At 38.6% G+C, this 12,058-nt stretch overlaps 1 protein-coding gene across 37 annotated transcripts in view; it reads left to right on the forward strand.

Annotated features, from left to right (window-relative positions):
• Positions 1-12,058, forward strand: part of CHD9 (chromodomain helicase DNA binding protein 9) — a 272,507-nt gene that overhangs the window by 82,683 nt on the left and 177,766 nt on the right. For 11 of the 37 annotated variants that reach the window (XM_017023719.2, XM_047434703.1, XM_017023720.2 and 8 more), the window contains exon 2: positions 3,506-3,601. The exons of 23 other annotated variants lie outside the window; for them this stretch is intronic. The gene's annotated coding sequence lies outside the window, so the exon portion shown is untranslated. Of the gene's footprint in view, positions 1-3,403; positions 3,602-12,058 lie in introns of those variants that run through there. 3 more of the 37 variants (XM_047434709.1, XM_047434710.1, XM_047434708.1) reach the window with 2 other exon arrangements.

Raw genomic sequence — 12,058 nt, forward strand, 5'->3', positions numbered from 1 at the left:
AAATGAGATACAGTACAAAGGAATGTGAGATAACAAATATAAACATTTTTGGTTCAAAAATGAGTACCCATGTTGTACCTGTTGGATTATAGTAGATTCTAACAGAACCCAGTTTTATGTTCTTGAAGATAAATGGCAAGACACACAGTGTCTTTTCTTGATCCTTAAAAAAGTTTAGTTTTTAAAATAGAATGAACTTTAGGGAATATGATGTGTGAAGAATGATGAAATATACATCTAAACCTTAATCAAAGAAATTTTATTGAATGATAGAGAATAAGAGAACTTTTATCAAGGTATACTTGATAGCTATTAGGTGGAATGCACAGAATACTTTGAAATAAGTTCCTGGGGAAGGAGGGGGGGAAATATGACAAAGATCTGTATGATTTTTGAGATTAATAGAAATTTGTTAGTAATGACCAAAGTTCCCAGGGCTACTGATAGGGGATATACATCGTTAAGTAGAGACTTAAGCTATTACTTTCTTAGTATACCTTAGGTTGAAGACTTCAAGAAGGGCACTAAGAGGCTAAATGATCTTAAGGTAGTGGGAAATTGGGCTTTATATCTTTATTTTATACCATTAGTAAGAAAAAAATGTTAAATAATTTGTAGTATTCTAAGAAAAGCAGATTTGAATTTCTCAAAGATTTGAGTGAAATCACATTTGGAGGATATAGTAGTGAAGATGTGTCAGGTTTGATTTAATTTGAAATGAAATGGATTTGGTAGACATGAAATCACTGCGTAGAAACTTACATGTCGTATTAAACTACTTTAAATGAATCAGAAAAGGAAGGAAAGCCATAGGGAAGAAAATTCAAGGTATGGTTTCATAGAAGCAAAGAAAATTTCCAGGAGGCGAAGGGGTTAATTGAACTGAGTTCAGAAGATTCTTAAAGCACTCAAAGCCTAAGTGGTATGTAATAAATGGGGACACATGGACAATTAGAGGCTTCATATAGAAGATAGATTTGTCTTTAGCTTTTGTTGTCACTTTGGTTAGTGATGATAACTTTTTTTAGTGGTCAAAGATGGATTGAGAGAGCCATTTGGATTTGTCTAGAAGGTTAGTTACCTTTGAAAGTACACATTTATGGGGACAAACTACAGAGTACAAGAAGTTAACAAGTAAATGGGTATTTAGAAAATGGAGGCAACAGATCACTTATTTTCAATATTTGGCATTGAATGGAAGAATAGAAATAGGATGATTTGGTTTACATTTGTGTTAAGGTAGGGAAGATTGGTCTGCTGATGCTCAAAGTCAGAAGAGAAGCAGGCAATTGCAAAGGGGCAGTTAAAGATCCTGGAGGAGGTGCTGTGGGAGGGCGTAAGTCTTTTTGAAAGGCTAGATGGAATTTTTTTTTTGAGGTAAAGGATCTATCTTTGGAAAAGAGCCATGTTTTCTTCTCTTAAGAATAGCTAGAAGAAAGAAGAGATAGATACAAAGATAGATATAGTGCTTCCATCTGAAAAGATGGTTATTTAGTGAATTTCAGCAGGAAAATCCCAGAAAACAAATTGTCCTTAGGTAAGAATGGGGAAGTTAGGAGTGAAGGCTTGAGGGGAGAGAACATAAAATAACTACAGTGAGATAGCCTAATAACAGAGGAATATATTTTAAAATTTCTAAGGCAAAGGAAGGGCCATATTGAAGGTAAAGGGTATAAATTAATATTAACCTTGTATTAATAAGGTGCTAATCATATAATAAATACTACAAATATAAATATGCAAAAAATGTTAATTTAATTGAACCAAGGACTGGCAATAAAATTACAGTGGTGATGGTAATACAGTATGGTAGGTTGAATGAATGAAAAAAGTCACAAGGGTATTGAAGGTGATTAGAGAACAGTATTGGAGATTATTTAAGGCAAAATAATCTGAGGAGGTCTGGAGAAGCCTATTGGTCATGGGAAAGTTTAAATGACTGTAAGCTCTTGGGAAAGCAGAAAAGAGGTGCTGGAGGTGACTGGTATGAGAGGGAAAGCTACATTTAGTTAAGCACTTACTACTGTATGTTGAGCATATTCTTTCGAAATCCTGTGACAACTCTGCAAAGTAGATGGTAATGACAATCAACCTGTCTCAGTCTTTAACTTTTCTATTTAAAGCCTTCGAAAATAATGCATTTAGCTGATACAGTGGCTCACATCTGTAATCCCAGCACTTTGGGAGGCTGAGGTGGGTGGATCACATGAGCCCAGGGGTTCCACACCAGCCTGGACAACATGGCGAAACCCTGGCTCTACAAAAAAATACAAAAATTAGCCAAGTGTGGTGGTGCATACCTGTAGTTCCAGCTACTCGAGAGGCTGAGGTGGCAGGATTGCTTGAGCCCAGGAGGCAGAGGTTGCAGTGAACTGAGATCGACCACTACACTCCAACCTGGGCAACAGCAAGACCCTATCTTAAAAAAAAAAAAATTCTGCATTTAAGTCAATTTTCTATTTTTAATATGAATTGAAATTTAGCATTAGAATAAATATTTAGGCCGGGAGTGGTGGCTTATGTCTATAATCCAGGTACTTTGGGAGGCCGAGGTGGGTGGATCACTTGAGGCCAGGAGTTCGAGACCAGCCTGGCCAACATGGCAAAACCCCATCTCTACTAAAAATACAAAAAATTAGCCAGATGTGGTGGCACGTGCCTGTAATCCCAGCTACAGAGGTTGCAATGAGCTGAGATCACACCACTGCATTCCAGTCTGGGTGACAGAGCACAACTCTGTCTCAAAAAAAAAAAAAAAAAGAATATTTAGATTTGATTTTGTTTGGGTGTAATGTTCAGGACCACTTCAGTTAAACAACTAGACCTGACTCAGTGGCAACTAGGAAATTTGTCATCTATTTTCAGTATCAGCCCAAAATTCGTTACCCTCAATCAGTTTTTATCATGATTAGAGATGAGATTGTATTTGTTTGAGACAGAGTCTCGCTCATCTCCTGTGCTGGAGTGCAGTAGCATCGATCGTAGCTCACTGCATCCTCAACCTCCTGAGCTCAAATGATTCTCTAACCTCAGCCTCCCAAGTAGCTGGGACCACAGGCACATGCCAACACACCTGGCTAATATTTAAAAAATGTTTTGGAGAGACTGGGTCTCGCTGTGTGCCCAGGCTGGTGTTGAATTCCTGGGCTGAAGTGGTTCTACAGCCTTGGAATCCCAAAGTGGAGATTATGTTTTTAAGAGTTTTCCTTTCTGTGACATGCAAAGCAAGACTAAATTAAGTGGGAATGCCAACAAAGTAAATAATTTAGTAAATGGCTATCTGCAGAGGGAGATGTTAATAATATAAGTAAGCATTAGAAGAGTGCCATTTAGCTTTGTCCTTTTGCTTATGTCCTTTGGTTTAAATTATTTTAAACCAAAGATTTCTTTGTTTTTTAAAAACCTTACATGAAAGCTCAATTTGTAAAATGAAAGCAAAATATTTCATGAAACCCAATTTGAAAACAGAGTGTTTACACAGTGCTTTATGTGTATTATTTTACAGTCATTTTTTGAGACCAGTACTGTTATAATCCCTATTTACAGATGAAGAAACTGAGCTTCAAAATGATTAAGTGTCTTGCCTAGGATTACATAGCTGGTAAGTGATATAACCAGGATTCCAGCCTTAACATTCTGGTTCCAGAGCCTGTAAAACTGTGCTATAGGATCCCTTGTAGAATTCCTTTTTGATGAAAATAGGATTCTTTCACTAAGGGATACGTGAGAATTAAAGTTTAAATTGGATTACTGGGGCTTTAAAAAAATTGTAAAAATATCTGTAGCAAAGTTAATCATTTTAACTCTTTTTTAAGTGTACAGTTCAGTGGGGGCATTCTTAAAGTCATGAAAATGATATGTTGTTGCTTAATGCTTTTGGATCTTAGCTTTTAGAATAATGTAAGGATTGAGGAGTTTACTTATTTGTTTATGTCATGGCATTATTGAATTCCTGAAAGCGTATGAGTATTTACTGTGTGGCAGGAATTAAATTAGTAGATGTTAGGAATACAAAGATGAATAAGAACCAGCCTCTGCACTCATCTTGTTTAGTAGGGATAAAGTAGTGTGTAAAATATGGAATACAAAAAAAAAATGAGTGTATAATAACTTGAAGTGTTTGAGTGTGTAAAGGCTTCCCAAAGGTGGTACCTGAGTTTAATCGTGAAGACATTACTTTATTAAGAGGAAGGCTGGTGGAAAGGGTGATGTTGTAGGCATAGAGAACATATTAATGGAGGTGTGAGAAAGTTTGTTGAATTCAGGCAACATTTCAATGTAGTGGAAACATAGATTACCTATGAGAGTGGCAAATAAGAGTGGAGGGGCATTGATAACTTTGGGAAAGGAATAAAATAGGAAGTACATATGTTGAGAGGCAAAGATAAATTTAGATATCATAAAATATGATATTGTTGATTGGTATAACATTTTTAATTTTTTAAATGAAAATACATTCAATACTATTAGATATAACAGGCTTGGATCTTGGTAAGTCGACAAGGAATCTTAATCTGTGTTTTTAGTTTTATAGGTCGATGAGAGGGAAATAGATAATTTTTGAGTACTTACTATGTTTTAGGACTTTGAATATATATATTTTTTCTTCTTTGAGATGGAGTTTCATCATGTCACCCAGGCTGGTCTCAAACTTGTGGGCTCAAGAGATCCGCCTGCCTTGCCCTCGCAAAGTGCTAGGATTACAGGCGTGAGCCACTGCGCCCATCCCGAATATTTTCTTTCTGAACTCTGCAACCTTTCTAAACCCTGTGATATAGATGGTCCAATGAGGAAACAGACTGAGGTTTGTTTGTTTTTTGTAGAGATGGGACTGTGTTGCCCAGGCTGATCTCCAGCTTCTGGTCTCAAGCAATCCTCCCACCTCAGCCTCCCAAAGAGCTGGGATTACAGGCATGAGCCACTGTGCCCAGCTTAGACTGAGAGGTTTTAAGAACCACTCAAGGTTACACAGCTTAGAATTAGCAGTTAGAATTTGAATCCACACCTAAGCTCCTTCAACTATGCCATGACTGGCTCATATTTGCCAGATATTTGTCTAATTGATTGGTGAATCTAATTTATTTTCTAATTAAACAGTCAAATGTTGTCTTAGTCCATTTTATGTTGCTATAACAGAATACCACAGACTGGTTAATTTATACAGAAAAGACATTTATTAGTTTTGGAGGCTGGGAAGTCCAAGGTCAAGAGGCCTGCATCTGGTATAAGATGGCTTACAAGCATTCACAAGAAGGCCCTCTGATGCAAGGCCTTCTGCTGCATCATCCTGTAGTAGAAAGCAGAGGGGCAAGAGAGCAAGGCATGACTGAACTTGATTTTCTTTTCTGTAACAAGCCCACTATCTTGATGACTAACCTACTCCTGTGATAACATTAATCCATTCATGAGGGCAGAGGCCTCATGACCTAATCACCTGTTATTAGGCCCCACCTCGAAACACTGTTGCTTTGAGGACTGAGTTTCCAACACCTAAACTTTGGGGGACATATTCAAACTATAGCAAGTGTATAGATAATGCAGTTGGATTATCAGAAACATGTCAAGGATACATAGAACAGAGTTACAGATGGGGTTTAATAGAGTAGTATACATGTGGAATACATGGCATTAAAGCCCCTTATGTGGACTTTCATAATGATTTTATTTATTTTTATTTTATCTTATTTTATTTATTTATTTATTTATTTATTTATTTATTTATTTATTTATCTGAGGCAGATACTCGCTCTGTCGCCCAGGCTGGAGCACAGTGGTGTGATCCCCACTTACTGCAAGCTCCGCCTCCCGGGTTCATACCATTCTCCTGCCTCAGCCTCCCCAGTAGCTGGAACTACAGGCACCCGCCACCATGCCTGGCTAATTTTTTGTATTTTTAGTAGAGACAGGGTTGCACCATGTTAGCCAGGATGGTCTCGATCTCCTGACCTCGTGATCCGCCCACCTTGGCCTCCCAAAGTGCTAGGATTACAGGCATGAGCTACCACGCCCGGCCTCATAATGATTTTATATATTTTACGTTAATAAAACACCTAAGGATTTGCTAATTAGCTACTGAAAATAATTTAGGATACTTCTGGATAAATATTACAAGTTGGATTATTTTTCTTTTAGTTTCTCATTTTTGCTGGGACTCATGCTGTTACATGTTAAGGTCATATTAGACTGAAAAATAAAGGAATGAGGGCAGTGATACGCCCACAGTTAATGTAATGACCTTTTTCAGCATTTAAAAATATTTTTCCTGATTCTTGCCCATGACCCAAACATTTTTTTTTCTTTTTAAAAGGAATTTTAGGCATAGAACATTATAGATGAGCTCCTGAAGTGGGGGGAAAAATATGATATCTTTTGTAAATTAAAAAAATTTTAATTAAATCTCAGATAAGTTTTTCTTTTTAGATATGGAGCTTACTGCTTCATAGCTTTCTTGCATTTATTCTGTAATCAGGATGAAGCTTTCTTCCCAATGAAGCTTATGTCTGTGTTTTGGTTAGGGTAGTGGTGGTGTTTTAACTATTTTCTTGGGAGACTATGAAGTTTTAAAATTTCTGAATATGAATATAGAAAATAACCCAAAGTATAGAGTATAAGACACCTTTACAAGCATCCAGTTAAAACCTGTCATTGATGAGGAAACAGGGCCGGAGTTGAATATGTTATCACATATTCAGTTACTACCAGAGATTAGAATTTTGGTCTCTGTTAAGAAGAAAACAACAATTCTAATAAGTTTTAATTTGTGTTTTGGGGCAATAAAATTTCTCTCTTGGAACCTTTTGTCCTACTTTAAAAATGTTTGTTGTGGCCTGGGCAACATAGTGAGACCCTGTCTACAAATTTTTTTTTTTTTTTGAGATGGAGTCTGGCTCTGTTGCCCAGGCTGGAGTGCAGTGGTGCTATCTTGGCTCACCACAACCTCTGCCTCCCGGGTTCAAGCGATTCTCCCGCCTCAGCCTCCCGAGTAGCTGGGACTACAGGCGCCCACTATGCCCAGCTAATTTTTGTATTTTTAGTAGAGACGGGGTTTCATTATGTAGGCCAGGCTGGTCTCAAACTCCTGACCTCGTGATTCGCCCACCTCAGCCTCCCAAAGTGCTGGGATTACAGGCGTGAGCCACCACGCCCAGCCTACAACATATTTTTAAAAATCAGCCAGGCATGGTGGCACATGCTTTTAGTCTCAGCTACTCAGGAGGCAGAGGTGGGTGGTTCACTTGAGTACAGGAAGTCAAGGCTGCAGTGAGCTATGATCATGCCACCACTGTATTCCAGCCTGGGCAACAAAGCAAGACCCTGTCTCAAAAAAAAAAAAAAAAAGTTCATTTAGGATTGTAAGTAATGATTAAGTCAATTAAGCAAAGATACATTATATGTCCATAGAAAAGAATTACTTTCAGAATACATTGGTTAGAAGTTTTCTAAGCAGCCTGGGCACAGTGGCTTACTCTTGTAATCCCAGCACTTTTTTTTTTTTGAGACAGACTTTAGCTCTTCTTGCCCAGGCTGGAGTGCAGTGGTGCGATCTCAGCTCACTGCAACCTCCGCCTCCCGGGTTCAAATGATTCTCCTGACTCAGCCTCCCAAATAGCTGGGATTACAGGCATGCACCACCATGCCTCACTAATTTTGTGTTTTTAGTAGAAATGGGGTTTCTCCATGTTGGTCAGGCTGGTCTCGAACTACCGACCTCAGGTGATCTGCCCACCTCGGCCTCCCAAAGTGCTGAGATTACAGGCATGAGCCACCATGCCCGGCCAATCCCAGCACTTTAGGAGGCTGAGGCGGGTGGATCACCTGAGGTCAGGAGTATGAGACCAGCCTGGCCAACATGGCGAAACCCTGTCTCTACTAAAAATACAAAATTAGCTGAGCGTGGTGGAGGGCACCTGTAATCCCAGCTACTCAGGAGGCTGAAACAGGAGAATTGCTTGAACCCAGGAGGCAGAAGTTGCAGTGAGCCGAGATTGCACCATTGCACTCCAGCCTGGGTGACAAGAGCAAAACTCCATCTCAAAAAAAAAATTGGGTCACAGTTTGGGATTTGCTATCCAGACATCTTGTACTCTACCTCTTTTAAAATAGCTAAGTATACTACCAAAAGCTAGATTCTATAGCAGAGCATGCTTCATCTTCATGAAAAAACAATCGTACGTGGGCCATAATATACATATAATGGAATATTAGCCTTAAAAAGGAAAGATATTCTGACACATGCTAGCTACAACATGGAAGAACCTTGAGGACATTATGCTAAGTGAAACAGACCGGTCACAAAAAGACAAATCCTGTATGATTGTACTTATATGAGTTGTCTAGAGTTGTTATATTCATCGAAATGACAGTAGATGGTGATTGCCAGGAGTAAGGGTTAAGAGAAATGGTGGGTAATGGGTATGGAGTTAAAATTTTATGGCTAGGCACAGTGGCTCACACCTGTAATCCCAGCACTTTGGGAGGCCAAGGTGGGCAGATCATGAGGCCAGGAGTTCGAGACCAACCTGACCAAAATGGTGAAACCCCGTCTCTACTAAAAAAAAAAAAAAAAAAAATTAGTCGGGCATTGTGACGGGCGCCTGTAATCCCAGCTACTCGGGAGGCTGAGGCAGGAGAATTGCTTGAACCCGGGAGGCAGAGGTTGCAGTGAGCTGAGATCATGCCATTGCACTCCAGGCTGGGTGACAGTGAGACTCTGTCTCAAAAAAAAAAAATTGTGTGTGTGTGTATGTATATATATATATATATAATTAAAAAGTTCCAGAGATTGGTGCACAACAATGAGAATATACTTAACACTACCGAACTGTATACTTAAAAATGGTGAGGATGGACTTGGTGGCTCATGCCTGTAATCCCAGCATGTTGTGAGGCCGAGGCGGGTGGATCACTTGAGGCCAGGAGTTTGAGACCAGCCTGGCCAACATAGCAAAACCCCATCTCTGCAAAAAAATACAAAAATTAGCCAGGTATGGTGACACATGCCTGTAATCCCAGCTACTTGGGAGGCTGAGGCACGAGAATCTCTTGAGCCTGGGAGGCAGAGGTTACAGTGAACCGAGATCGTACCACTGCACTCTAGCCTGGGGGACAGAGTGAGACGGTCTCAAAAAAAAAAAAAAAGTTAGAATGGTGACTTTTGTTACACGTATTTTACCACATTAAAAAAGGTTTTTTAATGGGCCATAAACTCAATGTCCAAATAATCACTGTTGCTATTTTTTTTTAAAGTTTCACAAAATATTTTTTTAAACCCAGTTTCTGCCTTATGTAGCATTCCCTCTCCCCCACCAAAAAAGTTTGTCATTTTCATGAATAAATACTTATTATCTGATACTGTGTGCTACTATTTAGTAGATACTAAGGATACATTACATAAAAATTACTGACTTAAATTTTATGGGGAGTGTAGGCTTTAAGATAATATGTAAACTATAGAATGTTAGCTAGTACTAAGTCAGAAAAATAAAGCAAGGAAGGGGGAGTGTGAAGCATTGGAGAGGGAAATAATGACATTTTAGAAAGGGCAATCAGGAAAGGCCTCACTAGGAATGTCACTTTTGAGAAAACTTACTGTAATGAAGGAACAGTATATTGAGCAGAGGGAACAGTAAATACAAAGTCCTGGAAGAACGTATATTCCTGACTTTCAAGATTGTTTTTAATTGTAAGATCCATTTGACAAAATGTGCTACTTTAACTGTCAAGTATACAGCGCAGTGGCATCAACATCATTCACAATGTTGTACAACCATCACCACTACATGTTGCCATTTTTTTATCATCTCAAGGCACTGTACCCATTACCAAATAACTTCTACTCTCCCCTTCCCCTAGCCCCAATAACCTCTAATTTAGTTTTATGTACCTCTGTCTCTGTGAATTTTCCCATTCTAAATACTTCATGTAAGTGGAATCATATTTGCTTTGTGTCTGCCTGCTAATATCTCTGAACATAGTGTTCTCAGGGTTCATCCATGTTGTGGCATGTATCAAAACTTTATTACTTTTTATGACTGAGTAAGATTCTATTATAAATATCTGTTGATGGACACTTGGATTGTTTCCAGCTTTTGTCTATTGTGAATAATGCTGCTATGAGTGTTCATGTACAAGTTCTCTGTTTGAGTCCCTATTTTCAGTTGCTTTTGGTGAATAGTATGTACCTAGGAGTGATATTGCTGGGTCATAAGGTAATTCTCTGTTTAACTTTTTTAAATGTTTGCTTATTTAGGCCAGGCGCGGTGGCCCATGGCTGTAATCTCAGCACTTTGGGAGGTTGAGGTGGGTGGATCACCTGAGGTCAGGAGTTCAAGATCAGCCTAGCCAAAATGGTGAAACCCTGTGTCTACTAAAAATAAAAAAAAAATTACCCGGGCATGGTGGTGGGCGCCTGTAAGCCCAGCTACTCGGGAGGCTGAGGTAGGAGAATCGTTTGAATCCAGGAGGCAGAGGTTGCAATGAGCCAAGATCGCACTGTTGCACTCCAGCCTTGGTGTCAGAGTGAGACTCTGCCTCCAAAAAAATATATAAAATTTTGCTTATTTAGTTTATTGTTTGTTTTTGTTTTTTAGACACAGGGTCTCACTCTGTCACCTAGGCAGAAGTGCAGTGACGCAGTCAGCTCACTGCAGCCTTGGCCTCCTGGGCTCAAGCAGTCCTTCTGCCTCAGCTTCCTGAGTAGCTGGGACTACAGGCACACGTACCCGTCTGGCTTGTTTAACTTTTTGAGGAACCACCACACTATTTTCCACAGTGGCTATACCATTTTACATTCCTATGAGAAATGTATGAGGGTTCCAATTTCTTCACATCTTCTCCAACACTTGTTGTTTATTTTTTATACCATTCCTGGTAGGTGTGAAGTGATATCTCATTGTGATTTCTGTTTGTGTTTCACTAACGACTGATGTTGAGTGTCTTCATGTCCTCCTTGGACATTCCTGTATCTTTTTTGATGAAATATCGAATGAAGTTCTTTGCCCATTTTTAAATTGGGTTGTCTTTCTGATACTGAGTTGTAGGAGTTCTTTAAAAATTCTGGATATTAAACCCTTATCAGATATATGATTTACAAATACTTTCTTGCATTCTGTTGGTTGCCTTTTTATTATCTTCTGCTACCTTTGGGTTTAGTTTGCTTTTCTGTTTCCTTAGGGGTACAATTAGGTTATTAATTTAAGATATATCTTTAAAAATGTAGTTGTTCACAGGTATAACTTGCCCTCAGAGCATTGCTTTGATAAGCACTGGGTCTGATAAGTTTTGCTATATTGCGTTTCAATTTTCATTTGCGTATTTTCTAATTTTCCTCGTTATTTCTTCTTAGACCCATTGATTGTGTGCTATTTAATTTTTACATATTTGTGATTTTTCTAATTTGGCTTCTGTTATCGATATTTAGGTTTATTCCATTGGAGTCAGAGAGGACAGTTTGTATACTTGTAATATTTTAAAATGTTTTAAGAATTGTTTTGTGGCCTACCATATGGCCAATCCTGGAGAATGTTTCATCTGCACTCCGGAAGAATGTATATTTTGCTATTGTTGGGTAGAGTGTCTGTATATGTGTGTTAGGTCTAATTGGTTTGTAGTGTTGTTCAAGTCCTCTTTTTTTATTGATTTTCTGTCTGGTTGGTCTATCTATTATTGAAAATGAGATATTTAAGTCTCCGACTATTGTAGAACTTTCTACAACTATATTGTAGAATTATTTGTTTTTCCCATCAATTCTGTGTATTTTTACTTCATAAATTTTGTGGGTCTGTTAGGTGCATACATGTTTATAATTGTTATATCATATTGGTAGATTGAGTCTCTTTCATCAGTGTGTAATATCCTTCTTTGTCTCTTGTAACCTTTCTCTCTCTGTCTCTCGTACCCAGCCATTTTTTTTTTTTTTCAGGCTAAAGTGCAGTGGCACAATCATAGTTCACTGTAACCTCCAACTCCTGGGCTCAGGAGATCCTCCAGCCTCAGCCTCCCAGTTAGCTAGGACTATAGGTGTGCACCATCACACTGGCTAATTTAAAAATATATATAT

The sequence above is a fragment of the Homo sapiens genome, chromosome 16, assembly GCF_000001405.40.
Source record: "Homo sapiens chromosome 16, GRCh38.p14 Primary Assembly".
Lineage (NCBI taxonomy): Eukaryota > Metazoa > Chordata > Mammalia > Primates > Hominidae > Homo > Homo sapiens.